The sequence below is a fragment of the Homo sapiens genome, chromosome 7 (assembly GCF_000001405.40).
Source record: "Homo sapiens chromosome 7, GRCh38.p14 Primary Assembly".
In the NCBI taxonomy this organism is placed as follows: domain Eukaryota; kingdom Metazoa; phylum Chordata; class Mammalia; order Primates; family Hominidae; genus Homo; species Homo sapiens.
The window spans coordinates 23,015,151-23,030,923 of record NC_000007.14 but is presented as its reverse complement, the minus strand read 5'-3'; the positions used below and the strand labels follow the sequence as shown (position 1 = coordinate 23,030,923).

Below are 15,773 nucleotides of genomic sequence, written 5' to 3'. Positions count from 1 at the left end.
TAGGAGAGCAGAGGGGCTTGAGGCCCTCTTCACTCCACTTCAGATCTGTCGGGTTGGCTTTGTTCGGTGTCATTTGTTATTCTGAAGGAAACTTCATTTGGAAAAAGAACAGAAAGCTTTGCTGCTAAACACACACACATACACACGCACACGTGTGCTTGCGCCAGCAAACCACTATCTTGGATATTCTGCTCAAGGAGAAGTTAAAGAGGAATCATGGGGAGAGGGAGCAGGTGGGCAGCAAACAGTAAGGCCTTATGTGTACTATAATACTGTATTACTAGTAACAGGTATTCCCAGTGAAGTTAAAAATATATGTGTTCAAGTGTGGTTGGTAGAACCTTTGGATGAGTGATTCTCAACCCTGGCTGCACATCGTAATCACCTAGGGGGTGTTAAGAAAATCCTAGTGCCTACGTTTCATCCCATAGTCTCAAGATACTTGGTTATTAACCCAGCTCTGGTTGCTAGTAATTAAAAACATATATCAATACAGTAGCAATAGAATAATTATATATTATATAAATACACATATAGAAGGACATAAAATAAACATACAAAAATTGTAGGGAAGTAGCATAATTACAGAGTTGAATTATTAAGAATGTCTATAAATAATGGCATCTTGGGATATCTTCTCAATTTTATGTTCTTCTTTGCTCATGAAGACACAAGATAAATGGCCATCAGCCTTCCTGGTGTTGTGTCAGATTAACAGAGATCATAAAACAAACATTTATAATTATGTCTATATTAACCAGAGAAATAATGACATACATTCATCTTCATGATCTATTACTGGCTGTTAGTTACAATAAAGAAAATTTTAAAGTGTTATCCTTCGGGTAAATTATCTGATGTTAAATACTTGCTCCAAAATGTGACTATAAGAGGGTATTGGTCATGGTATTGGAAAACACAAGGCCATAAATGTCCACTCTGTTGAATAATGTTGCAAGAAAGAATAAGCATTAAATAACTTCAGAAACCATTTATTGTAAATTTACTCCAAAGTGTGTTATTCTTCAAGATGACAAAATTTAATAGCCCACAACCAACTATAATATTAAAATCTATATTAGGGCCAGGCGCAGTGGCTCACACCTGTAATCCCAGCACTTTGGGAGGCTGAAGTGGGTGGATCACCTGAGTTCAGGAGTTTGAGACCAGCCTGGCCAACATGGCGAAACCCCGTTTCTACTAAAAGTACAAAAATTAGCCAGGTGTGGTGGTAGTCACCTGTAATCCCAGCCACTCAGGAGGCTGAGGCAGGAGAATCGCTTGAACCCGGGATACGGCAGTTGCAGTGAGCTAAGATCATGCCACTGCACTCCAGCCTGGGTGACAAGAGCAAGACTCCATCTCAAAGAAAACAAAAAGCCATATATTTTTTATATTATATATAATATATAAGACATAAGAGTAATAGAAATATAAGAGTAATTTTATAACATTAAAATAAAAAAATAGGAGCTTCTTTCTTTTCTTTTTTTTTTTTTTTTTTTGAGATGGAGTCTCACTCTGTTGCCCAGGCTGGAGTGCAATGGCATGGTCTCTGCAACCTCCACCTCCTGGGTACAAGCAACTCTCCTGCCTCTGCCTCTCTAGTAGCTGGGATTACAGGCACCCGCCACCAAGCCTGGCTAATTTTTTTTTGTATTTTTAGTAGAGATGAGGTTTCACCATGTTGGCCAGGCTGGTATTGAACTCCTGAGCTCATGATCCTCCCTCCTCAGACTCCCAAAGTCCTAGGATTACAGGTGTGAGCCACCGTGCTCAGCTGGAACTTCTTACTTTTCAAGCATTTGAAATGGATGTTTCCTAATTTCCTGCTTTTCAGCATTAGAAATGGTATGATGATAGAACCATAAAATAAATTGTCCTAAAAAGTCCACCAAAACCCCTGGATGTGAAACATGAAATATTTAGAACACACACTCTTCTGAGTTCATAGGGTAAAATTCTTTCCTCCTTGATGCAACTGCTTTGAAGGGAGCATTCTTTCCTTGGGAACCATGGCCTTTGTTGTTATGGATCAAATAGCTTTCCTGAAACTCCCTCTGTGGGTGCTGGTACCCCTTCATCATGGGAGCACGGTCTGTGAAAATGAAGAGCAGACTCCTTACCCCATACAGACTGTTTCATTTTGAGAGTAACACAGGTTAAGATGGGCACTTCTGGCCGGGCGCGGTGGCTCACGCCTGTAATCCCAGCACTCTGGGAGGCCAAGGCAGGCGGATCACGAGGTCAGGAGATCGAGACCATCCTGGCTAACACAGTGAAACCCCGTTTCTACTAAAAATACAAACAATTAGCCGGGCATGGTGGCGGGCGCCTGTAATCCCAGCTACTCGGGAAGCTGAGGCAGGAGAATGGCATGAACCCGGAAGGCAGAGCTTGCAGTGAGCCGAGATCCCACCACTGCACTCCAGTCTGGGTGACAGAGCTAGACTCTGTCTGAAAAAAAAAAAAAAAAAAAAATGGACACTTCTGAAATTTGAAAATAGTCTTCCAGATTCAAATGTGGACCATGTGCATCCCATTTGAAAAAGCCTCTAAGAAATGATGGTTGGGAGAGGGTGGCTATGGGGAGGCTGATGGAAGGTACTAGAGTGTTCTTGTCCTGGACAAGGTCATCCGTCTGTATTCTTAGGTCTAGAAAAGTTTTAGCCAAGAAGATTCAGGCAGAATTTTTCCATTCCTAGTGGTACTTAGTAAGGTCATTTATAAATGCAAATATCTATTTTGAGAAACAAATAAACGTTCCAAAATATTTCCCTCTTGTGCATCAAATAACATTTTCCATAGGGCAATAGGCAGGGGAAGAAATGAACATATTTTGAATACCTATTGTGGTCCACACACTATATAAATTATTTTTATATGTTTTATCTCCTTTAATCCTCCTTTAATGCCAGGTAAAAAATGTTATTCTGTGGATTACAAATTAAAGTTTCAGAGAAGCTAACTTACCCAAAGTCATCAATCAGAGGAATATTGATGCCAAGATTCAAATTATAGGCTGAATTCAAAGTTCACATTCTTTAATTTCACCAAACTGCTTTTTTTCTAAAAGGTATAAGGAACGAAACCACATGAAAACAAATGAATGACAGAATTGGAGTTTGATGGAGGTTGGGGAGGGGGCTGCAGTATAGTGTAATGACTAAGTAAATGGACTTGGGAGTCAGACAGACCTGAGTCCCAGATTCTTCACTCAGCAGCCCACTGAGTTTGGGCAAGTTATATCCTTCACAGGAACTATTCTAAGTATTAAATGACAGAGTGATAAATAAAATCTTTGGCAGATACCATCACAAAGAAGATGAGAAAAAAATATTTGACAGAGCATGGCACATAGTAAGTGCATGATAAATGCTGGCTATAATTGTTTTCATTTTTAGAAATTTAAACACTCTGTTCCAACACTCTTATGAAATAAAAGCTGAGGTCCAGAGAGTCTAAGTGAATTTCTCAAAGACATAGGATGAACCACTGACATAACTAGAATTGGAATTCAGCTATTTTGTGTCCTGGCATATTCTCATTATCTTTCTAAGACATTGTGCTTCACAGGAGGATTTCAAGAGTTTTTGAGATAGTCATCTTTTTTTCTTTTCTTTCTTCCTTTTTGTTTTTTGAGACCAAGTTTCGCTCTTGTTGCACAGGCTGGAGTGCATTGGCGTGATCTCGGCTCACAGCAACCTCTGCCTCCCAGATTCAAGTGATTCTCCTGCCTCAGCCTTCCAGAGTAGCTGGGATTACAGGCATGAGCCACCTTGCCTAGCTAATTTTGTATTTTTAGTAGAGACAGTGTTTCTCCATGTTGATCAGGCTGGTCTCAAACTCCCAACCTTAGATGATCTGCCCACCTTGGCCTCCCAGAATGTTGGAATTACAGGTGTGAGCCACCGTGCCCAGCCGAGATAGTCAACTTAATGGCCATGTTTTGTGAACCACATGAAACAGAATATTTGAAACTAATACTATTCTTGAAAAATCCAGGATGTGAACACTGTTATGAGCTCAATAAACATAACTTCTCCTTCTTCCTTTCTAACAGAACCTCAATTTTCTCCATGTATCCTCTCCTTCCCCATCTCTAGAAGTAAATTCTGTTTAGCCTAAAACAGTAGTCCTCAGACTATACAATATATGGAGGACTTGTTAAAACTCAGATTGCTGGACCCCACCCTCAGCATTTCTGACTCTGTAGATGTTCATTTCTAACAGGTTTCCAGGTTCCCAGCAGCTTAAACTGCCGCTCTGAGGACCCTGTTTTGAGAATCACGGGTTTAGGACCATCAGTGGCAGCTCCCTGTTCTAGGGACAGGCAAGTGTAGTAAGTTGGCCCAGTCAGACTAAAGGCAAAGATTTATGTTCCTTGGTGGGAGGATTTCCTCTCTCCTGTTGTAGGTGAATAGTGAACAATATTGCTCCAGTCCTTGCAATTGGCCATCTTATCACCATGAGGAGAGAACTAGCTTCGGTCAAAAGCCAGCACCGTAGATGGAAGAGCAGAGAGATGGATAGAGCCCAAGTGTTTGATTACATCATTGAGCCAGTGAATCAGCTAAGCCGGAGGCTTGATCTTCCTCTGTACCTTCTGGTATGAGAGGTTGTGCAAATGTCCTAGTTTAAGCTAGATCAAATCAGAACTTCTGTTATTTTGGCCACACTTAACTACCTAAAGTCAGGTAAATTCCTAAGACAATAAAATGAAAACGTGTATTTGAAAATAAGAAATATTTTAACTTAATGCCAGCTTTTTTTCATCCAAATAGCTGGCAACTGTAGCTTTCTTTTTTTTTTTTTTTTTTTTTTTGAGACGGAGTCTCGCTCTGTGGCCCAGGCGGGAGTGCAGTGGCGCAATCTCGGCTCACTGCAAGCTCCGCCTCCCGGGTTCACGCCATTCTCCTGCCTCAGCCTCCCGAGTAGCTGGGACTACAGGCACCCGCCACCACGCCCGGCTAATTTTTTTGTATTTTTAGTAGAGACGGGGTTTCACCGTGTTAGCCAGGATGGCAACTGTAGCTTTCATTAATGAGATAATACACACTTAAATACGAATCTATTTCTGTGCTTTACCTCACAGAAAGTGCTTAATAAAAGCACAGCCCTATTCTTAGTGTTTTCTTGATTTACTGTGGGCAGGAAAAACAATTGTCTTTCAAAAGATTCACTGTGATTAGTGAGCAGTTGTCAGTGGGAAACATACTTCAGAATATTACTAAATTAGGAAACACTTGAAATTCTTAGACAAGATAAATTCATTTTATGTCAGTTGATCCACATAATCTTAACTATTGCCAGTTTTTTAGAGCCTCTATTCTGTTTTATAAATATAAGTAGGAGTAAATAAGTTAATCCAACTCCTTTATGTTATCATATTGTTACTGTAAATAGCTGCAACTATGGTAAGGATATTAAAAGGAAAAAAATGCTCAAATAACATACTAGGTCCTCCTCCTAACATCACAGAACTGGAATATATATATATATTTACCCAGTCCATTTCTTTCTCATAGAAACACGAGATTCATTGTTTATGACTGTAAGCAAACAACATTTTTGTCTACGATTCTGATACAATTCCATTTAAGGCTTCTCTGTGTAAAGGTCATTTTATTGTGGCATAAGTATTTGGTTCTCTTTCAGAAAATATATATTACCTGAGGACAGAGCTGATCTAAATCTTTAAGTCATTTGGAAGGGGACAAATAACAGTTTGAGCTTTTCTGTTTCCCCTACACCAAAGAACAGGGTGTGTAGTAGTAACAGCATTTGTTGCTACTTGGCTCTGCTTCAGATATTGTGCTAACTGGTTCAGGGTAACTTTTGTTTCATTCGATCATTAATTCATTCAACATATATTTTTGGAACACCTAACATTTGCCAGTCTGCTCTGTCAGAATGTTCTATAGAACATTTTCTGCTAGTATGTTCATCGGGGTGAAAAAGAAGAGCAGTCTAATTTTGGATTCCAGGGCAAGAGTCATATTGCCCAGGACATAGGAGATGAAGAAGATAGGAATCATGTTTCCCTCCTTTTTATTTCCCGAGTTTCTGCTCCCAGCATGATATACTGTGTTTCTCAAAGGGTATTCTTTGTAATTTCAACAAGATAATGATAATAGATGTTATTTTAAAAGTTGTCATGGCTAAAATTTTGAGGAAGAAACATGGGAGTTCAACCATTAAACAGGATTCTTGCTACAGAAGTTCTCAGTGCCTTTAATAAGCTTTGGGGAACTCCGAGAAGGAGGCACATTTTGCACTATTTCTCAAACTTATTTGACCATAACCTCTGCACCTACCGAGCCCCATGGGAGGGGCTTACAGTGTCAGGGCTTCATGGTACACACTTCAGGAAAGGGCTCATCCAAGCTATTTTTGCTTTTAAAAGTTTGTCATTTCTCCTTCCCCTTCTAAGCTCTTTCATGCTCTGAAATCTCAGGGTTTTATTCTCCACTACTGCAAACTCATCACCTTTCTGCCAACCTTTCACATCTTCAACATATCTAGTTGAACCTCATAGACATTTCTAGTCAGACCTCACAGACATTTCTAGTCACATTTGGGATATCTATAATAGACATTTAGCTATGATGCAGGAGATGCAGAGCAACAGAGTGAGGAGGAGAGAATCTCAGGTACCAGAGCAAGTGAGGATCTCAGGAGGAAACGAAGAATAACCAGGCCTCCTTTGTCACACTGGGTAACAACGGGTAACAACTTTGAACAAGCCCCCTATGCTCAATGAACAGAACATTTTACTTTCAGATCAGAGTTCAGTCCCTTCATTTTACAGATAAGAAAACTGAGAACACACATCTTACAAGAGCGATGTGAGCTTTCAGCTCAAGCCTGACTTCTGGTTCAAGGCTCTTTCCATTCTCTCACTCTGCATCTTTTATAATCTCTCTGGGTCTTCTCATTATCTTACTTCAGCCTCAAAATTCCACTTGCTCAGATCTCTGGTATCTCCTAGGCAAGGAAAAAGAGGGATGAAGATTTCCTCTGCAGGCACACATAGGCTGCCAACACTAGGCTATTCATCCGAATAAGGAAAACATTCTCAGTTTCTGCAAACACAAGGCGCAAATTGCACAGGAATAAAAGCAGGCTTATATTAAAGCCTGGCTATATCTCATTGGCTGAGCTGGATGGATCTGAAGAACTGGCTCACCAGGAGAGGTCAGCTTGATCCATCCAACTATGCCACAGGTATTCCGTGTGGCAATCTCAATAGGTGATGGAGGTGGCCAAAATTAGGTTCTACTAGGGTTAGTGGTGGCTTGGGCCACCTGAGGAATGTAGGGCACTTAAGGTTTCCATGCTTCAGGGCCAGCCTTGGGGAAACTGGGAATTGATTGACCTTTCTTTTAAGTGACCTCATACCCACACCTTCTTCCAAGGTTCCTTCTTCCCCTTCCATCTCTAAGCCCTGGCTTAGCCTGGAGCCACTCTCTTTCCTTTTGAATGAGGCTTCATTGAATGTGGTCCCACATTTCAGACTGTCCTTGGCCCTCTGCTCAGTTGAGGCTTAACTATCCTTTAGGGTTTCCCTTCCAGTGAGATTTCTGCAGGGGTTCTGATATCTAACTGTTCAGGGTGGCTACTTAGTGTGTAATGTGTTACCCTTCCCAAGTACTTGCCCCATTTTCTCACTCTTGGCTACTCTCTCCACATTTACAATGTCTCAGTGTGATAAATAGACCCTGTGATGGAATGTTCATATACTCCAGTCAGTCTGTAATGCAGGCAGCAAGGGAACACCCACCTAGCATCCCCTCTTGGTTAGGATGCACAGGAAGGCAATTCAGAGCCTCTTTTTCTAAAACAGAAGGAGCTTCCCATTGGCCGCTGTTGCGTCTTTGGACAAAACTCTGACAGATGGGATTTGAGGTTAAGTAAACCTGTCTTTGTCCCTCAACAATCATCATGTTACCAGAGGTTCATCCACATTTTCAGAGAAACTGTTTTTTCTATGAGTTATTCAGAGAAAGATCTTTCTGGGAGATTTTTATTTCATAGTATCATCAAACAACTGTTATAGTTCACTTTTCCCTTGTTTATGAGGACTAGTGTTATCTGTAGCAGTATTAAACATTATCCTATTTTATGGCTGATAGGTTAAATTATGTAGTTGTAGAAACTGTCATCAACTATTCTTAAGCCAGAAAGCTTGAAAATCCAGCTGGTTTTCATTCTCTACACTCAACCCCATTCCTGCCCTCTGCCCCCAGCCCTGCTGGGACATTCTCTTCCCGGAAGTGCTCTCTCCACAATGTCAGTGATAATATATCCTAGAGCGAAACCAGCAGGACTGACCAGAAACCACTTAGTCCAGAAAAAAACTCTCTCACCACCACCTTCAGGCCGGGCACATGGAGGCATCTAACGTATGTAGACTGACTCACGGTAGGGACTTAATAAATGGTTGTTGATTTTAAATCTCAATACAGCTGAGGAACGATTTGCAATGAAACAGACATGCAGAGTTGCTTTAAAATTGCAGAGCACGAAAAAATCTGTGTGAGTCATCAGGGAAATGCAAATTAAAGCCACAATGAGATAGCACTACACACCCACCAGAATAGCTAGAATTTAAAAGACTGATAATACAAATATTGGCAAGGATGTGGAGCAACTGGAACTCTCATATTCCACTGGTGGGTGTGTAAGTGATACAATTACTTTGGAAAGTCATTTGGCTGTATTATATAAAGGAGAGCATATGCCTACCTTCTTCCCAACAATACCCCTCCTGGATATATACCACAGAAGAGTATGTAGATGTGCACCAAGAGGCACGTACAAGAATACTCCAAACGGCATTCTTCGTAATAGTCTCAACTGAAAAGAACCCAAATATCCATCAGCTGTAGGACTGTCAAACAAATCATGGCATATTCATATAGTAGAATACCTAACAGTAATGAAAATGAACACACTACAATTCCAATAAGAAATATAGATGGACTTCACAAACACAAACTTGATAGAAAAAAACCAGACACACAAGCATATATCCCATATGATTCCACTTACATGAAATTTAGCAGGCATAGATGAACTAAACCATCATGAGTCAAAACAGATGTTGTCTTTGAGAATAAGAGACAGGGTGATGATTGGCAGGCGGTCCAAGGGAGCTTCTGGATTGCATCAATATTCTTTTTCTTGACCTGGTTGCAGTGTTTGCCTGTAAAAATCCACTGAACTAATCATATTTTTGTTGTCTCTACTTTCCTATATGTATATTATACTTCAATGTTTTTTTTACAAAAGTTCCAGTTGCAGAGCTTGTAGGACTGATCCAGGTCAACATAGTCTGCCCCCTTTGACCCTTTAGATTCATCTTATTTCCTTCAACAGTTGCTTTGATTCTTCTCAGCCTTGGTTGTGTCTTACTGTTCATGGTCCCCAGAGATTGAGTCCTCCCTGGATACTCTTCCAGGCTCAGATATCTACATTTCCTCCCACTGCCCTCCCCATTTTTTTCCCCTAAAGCCCCACACTTTCTTAGGGACCTAACCAATTAATCTTAGCTAAGTTGCTGATGACTAATGTGACTTCTCATCCTGGTGCAACTCAACTTTGAAAAACACCCTCAAGAGTGCTTTAAAGGTTAGTATCATGGTCCAACCCACAGGGGTAGAGGTTTTTTGGATGATGCCCTTTCAATGACAGGGTAGCTGGCCCTAGACATGTCTATGCTGAGGACTTGCTTCAGGTAAGCAGAGAAGATGAGAGAATAAGTGCTTTGCCTCTGCCAGCATAACAGGGGTTTTGATAATGGGATGGGTCACTTCCACATGGTGGTAGAGGAAATGGAAGCCACACTTGTTCTTATTGAACTTTGATGATGTACTCGCTTGCTGAATTTTTTTTTTTTTGGCATAAGTATCAGGGTGTGGTGCTGATGACTAAGTAAATGAGAACAGAATTGAAAAAATGGAAGTATTACTCATACATTGGACTCCCTTAGCACAGAGTTACAAACCAGCGAGAGTCAGCTGGCAAAACTTTTTGGGGGTATGCCTCTTTCTGGCATTTCATCCCTCCTCTTGCAGCTGGGCCGAGTTCCCAAACTCACCCTCCCTTCATCCAGTGCTTGTGCTTGTTGAATTCCTTTGTGGGAACCACTTAGCAAAGGAACCAAGGAAGTGTGTGCCTTGATTGCTGCCTCTGCTCTCTGGGTGAGGGGTTAACACATGGGAAATGATTTTGGAAAGATAAAAGGTGATACACAATGAAGTGTTAAACTGCATCTAATGAATGCAGCCAGTGGTCAGAAACGGGAGAAGTCACATTTTCCAATCCTTGGCCTGTATGCTTGGGGACAGGTGTGTAAACCTGAAAAAGATTCAAACCCAACCAATATAAGATGGAGGAGGAAAATGGCCATCTTTTCATGTGCTCCTTTAACCTGTCTTTTTGAAGGTCCTCCATTGGCCAAGCACTATACTATTGCAGGGGGTCCAAAGATGACAAAAAAAGTTCAACTTCTTCTGCGGGAGTCAGTTTATCATATTTACCTATGTATTTTCCCCATGTTATTTTCTGTTCGCTGGGCCACCATTTGTCAGAGAAAATCTGTATACAAGTTCATGCTTCTATACTAAATACTCATTAGCAAGGTCTTTTGCTTGTCAGCAATAACCAGAGCTTCTCTGTGGAATTTATGAGAACATTTTAAAGAATTTTGAATAATGCATTAGCTAAAAGTGAAAGGAAGAATGTTTAACTGAGGTTCACTTAGGCAGAATTAACAATAAGCAAGGCACAGTCTGCTGTGTCTTCATCTAAAGAAATAATGTACACTTCTGCTTTTTTTTTTTTTTTTTAAGACAGTATCTCACTCTGTTGCCAGGCTGGAGTGCAGTGGCACGATCTTGGCTCACTGCAACCTCTGCCTCCTGGGTTCAAGCGATTCTCCTGCCTCAGCCTCCTAGTAGCTGGGACTACAGGTGCCCGCCACCATGCCCGGCTAGCTTTTTGTACTTTTGTAGAGATGGGGTTTCACCATGTTGGCCAGGATGGTCTTGATTTCCTGACCTCTTGATCTGCCTGCCTCGGCCTCCCAAAGTGCTGGAATTACAGGTGTGAGCCACCGCGCCCGGCCACACTTCTGTTTTTTTGTTTTTTTTTTTTTTTTAATAAAACCAACACTTGTTTATTGTAGAACATTTGGTAATTTGAAAACATGTATGAAGAAGAAGATAAAATTCACTTATGATTTCTCCATGCTTATATGTTGCTGATATATCCTCCTGACATGAACACTTGCCAGATAGTGACCATGTCATATACTGTGCAGTTTGTAACCATCTGTTTCATCTAACATGATGAAAGAAATGTCTTTTTCCCATGTCATCAAATATTTTTCAAAAACATGATATATAAAAGCTGCATAATAATCCTCTCCTGACAGGAATTCTTCTAGAAGACATTGGTTAATAAAATGTCTTAGAAGATAAATGTGGATATTTTTCATTTCCAGTCATGTGAGGGTAGCAGTTAGTCATTATGTTTTCCACTCCTATCTATATGACCTACTCGTAAATATGAACCAGGTTGGTGCAGCTATTAAAAGACAAGAGAAAGGAGACGTTTTTCCCCTTAAAATATAACATTATAAAGTTTTAATTTATGTCTTGTTGTTTAAGATGTGAAGAATGTTTTCTTCTTTTGAGAGATGTTACTCCTAGAAAAACCAAAATTCTCTTCACAAAATGCAATTGGTCCAGCTTCTTTCACTGAATGCATGATTCTGGAAGTCTACGTATTGGTTTACACAGGGGTGAAAGACACAATGATTTACTTAGAATAGGTGATGGAGATGGGAATTTCGGGGACTCTGGGAACAGCTGCAGTTGGAACTCACAGATGTTGAATGCAAACACTGGGAACTGGAGCAATTCAGTGCAGCTGCAGGAAATGGATTATCTCATTGTCCTTTCCACAACAGGACCTCATTGATCCCCATCTTTGTTACCGTGACTCATTCCATTGTCTCTACTTCTGCCACTCCTTTGTTACCTATTACTTCACCATCCACTTTATACGTCTTGACGCTACCTAATGGCTTCAGTTTACTGAAAACGTGCCCTTTTTATAGCTTCTCAGGGCTTCTTTCTACTGACTGATTTTTTAGCTTCTGCTTCCACCACGTGATTTTCTCTTCCTATTTCCAGTTCAAATTCTTGAAAGAGAGTGGGTGTTCATGTCAGGTCACCTCTTGAGGTTGGCTGCCCTTGGGTTATACAGTTCATGAAGGGGGTTGTATGGTATAGATCATGGCTCAGGTTGCTGCCTCAGCTGGGTCCACTGGCTGGGGTAGTTCCCTTAAAAAGGGAATCTGATATAGCAAGCCCTTGAATGACCTCTCAGGCACACTCTTTTTGTTTTGACTTCATTTCTTTGATTTTCTTTTTTCTTAAAGAATGTTTAACATACCACAAAAGCAACATTTTGACATATTTTTCATGTTTTTTTAAACAAAATTCTTTTTAATTTAAAATAATCATGTTATCTATTTTAACCATTTTAACAACAGTTGTTGTCCAATTGACTTTAATAGAAATATATAATATTTGAACTAGGCCGGGCATGGTGGCTCATACCTATAATCATAGCACTGTGGGAGGCCAAAGTGGGCAGATCACTTGAGGCCAAGAGTTCGAGACCAGCCTGGCCAACATGGTGAAACCATGTTTCTACCAAAAAAATACAAAAATTAACCAGGCACGGTGGCACACACCTGTAGCCCCAGCAAGTCAGGAGGCTAAGGTACGAGAATCGCTTGAACCCAGGAGGTGGAGGTTGCAGTGAGCTAAGATGGTGCCACTGCACTCCAGCCTGGGTGACAGAATCAGACTCTGTCTCAAAAACAAAACGAAACAAAGAAAGGAAAAGAAAAAGAAAAAAAGAGAAAGATATTTGAACTAAATTTTTCTTAAAATTCCTGAAATTTAATGTCATAGGGAAAATGTTTATGTTTATAATGTTCAACTGGCACTTTTATACAGTTATTTGCAAGAAGATAAATGCATTTTAATAGTTACTTTAGAATTATGCGTGTGGATATCAGAGACTAGCAAAGATGAGCAGGAAAGATCTGGAATATGTTGACTTTTATAAAGTAGGTTAAAAGCATTTTCCTTTTGAAACAGAATGTTCTCTTAGGCATTTTTTCTGGTGCTTTGCGATTAAAATATAAACGGCTATGTGTAAAACTTAACTGCAGACTGTTATTGTTGGAAATTATTTTTATATGCACAAATTGTGATGGAAAGGAGAGTAGACTGGAAACATAAATTTGTGCTTTCGTTTTACTCTGACTTAGAGGGAAGACAACTTAAATTGCCTTCTATACTACCTTACCACTGCAAAATGGGAAGTGAAGTCAGGCAGTAAACTGCTTCCTGTCTTCTTGCAGGAAGGAAACAAATTATATATAAATATACATAGCCAAACTTCAGTTTCTCTCCACTCAATCTATCCTATGCACGGCACTGATTTGGCACTAGTAACATGTTATATTATTTCCCTTTTGTCAACCTTGGGTGTATATTAGAACCACTTGGGAAGCTTTTTTAAAAACCCAATGACTAGCCTCACACACCAATTTATTTATTTATTTACTGTGGGGTGCGGTTTGAGTACTGATAATTTTGAAAGGCATCCTAAGTGATTCTAATGAGCAGACAGGAAGCCACAAGGCAAAAGGAGAAAATCTGAACAACTGAGCTTGCCTTCAAGGTGTTCTATTATCTATCTGCAACCTAGCTTGCCAGGCTTGGCTGACTCAAGTTGCCTCCCATGCCCTCTGAACATTGCTTGTGCTTCCCCTCTTGTGTTATTTCTCCAGGCATTCTGGGAGTTACTTTCTCACCATTTTATCTGGTTCAAATTCCTCCCCAGTTTTCTAGACCCAGCCCATTTTGCCTTTTTCATGAAGCCTTCCCTGACTGCCCTTGACTGCAGTGCTTGCATCCTCCTCTGAAAACACAGCGGCTAATGCCTAGAAAATCATTTGAACAATGAATCGATTATGTACTGCCTTATGTAATCTCTCCACTGCTGCATTAAATAATTACTTTAATCTTTGCTTAACCTTTCATCTGTTTGTTATGCAGCTAACTATACTATAAGCAAGCTTCTAGCATTCATCTGTATCCTTGACAAGCCACGTGCCTTGTACAGTACAGGAAGTCAATAATATTTACCTGTCCCTTCCATCCTGACTTCCACAGGTTTGGTTCGAGATTCTCTCCTGGAATCTTGTCCTGGTCTTGGCTGGGCTTCCTGCCACCAGAAACTTTGGCTCTTCAAATCAGGTCAACACATTACTGGCACACATGGCCAATGGCCAGTAAAACTGATGGTGTGTGTGTGTGTGTGTGTGTGTGTGTGCATGCGCGTAGGTGTGCACTCTTTTGCCCACTCTTGTTTCTCTCTATCTTATGATCTGGCTGACTCGGTTTCTTTCCTTCCTTGGTCCCTCACTCTCCTACTCAATGGGACTTGACGGCAGAATTCAACGTCTCAGGTTTTGACTGCTTGTGTTCTCTAAGATGAATAACATGCTGCCTGGATCTTCCTCTCCCTATTTCTTTGAGTAAACACTTGTCCTGAACAGGCTCTGGCCAAGGGGACCTAAATTAAGTCAGTCTGATCTGTCAAGAATTTCCTCTCTACCCTGTTTTTTTTTCTTTGGATTCTCACCATTTAAAAGAAACCTGATTGCATTGTCCACATGATTAAAAGCTGTTGTCTGTCCCTCATTGCCTTAAGAAGAAAATCTAAACCTGAGCTATCCAATATGGGAGTTGTTAAAGTTAAAATTAAAAATTAATGCCAGACATGGTGGTTCACACCTGTAATCCCAGCACTTTGGGAGGCTGAGGTGGGTGGAGCACCTGAGGTCAGGAGTTCGAGACCAGCCTGGCCAACATGGTGAACCCCTGTCTCTACAAAAAATACAAAAATTAGCTGGGTGTGGTGGTGAGTTCATGTAACCCCAGCTACTCAGGAGGCTGAGGCAGGAGAATTGCTTGAACCTGGGAAGTGGAAGTGCAGTGAGGTAAGATCCCACCACTGTACTCCAGCCTGGGTGACAGAGGGAGACTCTGCCAAAAAAAAAAAAAATTAAAAATTGAGTTTCAGCCGTGTATGGTAGTTCATGTCTGTAATCCCAGCACTTTGGGAGGCTGAGGTGGGAGGATCACTTAAGCACTCTACCCCAGTTTGGGTGACAGAGTGAGACCTTGTCTCAAAAATAAATAAATAAATAAATAAATACATTGAGCTCTTCAGTCACACCACATTTCAAGTATTTGATAGCCACATGTGGCTAATGGCTACTATTTTGGACAACACAAATATAGAACATTTTCACCAGTGCAGAAAGCTCTGCTGGACAGTGCTTGTCTGAATATCTTAGTGTAGCTTGTGAGGTCTTTTACAATCTCACCTCAACCTTTTGCTCCAGCCCAATTTTTGGCCGTTCCTCATCATTTAACCCCATCTACCTTCTCAACATTCCACAATGGCTCTGTGCCCTTTCACAGCTCCATGCCTTTGAACATGGTGTTCTCCCTTTCTGAAATACCCTTTGACTTTCTTCTCTGGCAAACTCCCATTTACCTTTTAAGATCCAACTCAAACATTACCTTCCTTGTGGAGTTCGCTGACTTTCCTAAACAGTCATTTCTTGTCCTCTGTTTCCATTGCTCATTGAACCAATCTCTATTGTCCTTATC

General features: G+C 40.7%; 1 long non-coding RNA gene across 3 annotated transcripts, besides 1 other annotated feature; it reads right to left on the bottom strand.

Annotated features, from left to right (window-relative positions):
• Positions 1-581: 581 nt before the first annotated feature.
• LOC105375185 (uncharacterized) lies at positions 582-9,241 on the bottom strand. 3 transcript variants are annotated; one of them, XR_927095.3, is made up of 4 exons: positions 9,055-9,241; positions 8,749-8,859; positions 2,974-3,069; positions 582-695 (listed from the first exon to the last, which is right to left on the bottom strand). It is a non-coding gene; the product is annotated as an uncharacterized LOC105375185 (long non-coding RNA). The 3 variants fall into 3 exon arrangements; XR_007060253.1 differs by lacking the exons at positions 8,749-8,859; positions 9,055-9,241 and adding an exon at positions 6,840-6,892; XR_007060252.1 differs by lacking the exons at positions 582-695; positions 2,974-3,069 and adding an exon at positions 6,833-6,987.
• Positions 8,925-10,124: an enhancer, noted in NCBI's record as "P300/CBP strongly-dependent group 1 enhancer chr7:23060419-23061618 (GRCh37/hg19 assembly coordinates)". NCBI's record gives its function as "activates an origin of replication core promoter dependent on BRD2, BRD4, P300/CBP, MED14 and CDK7 cofactors, with strong dependence on P300/CBP, by STARR-seq in HCT116 cells {active_cell/tissue: HCT116}" and the evidence as "EXISTENCE:reporter gene assay evidence [ECO:0000049][PMID:35650434]".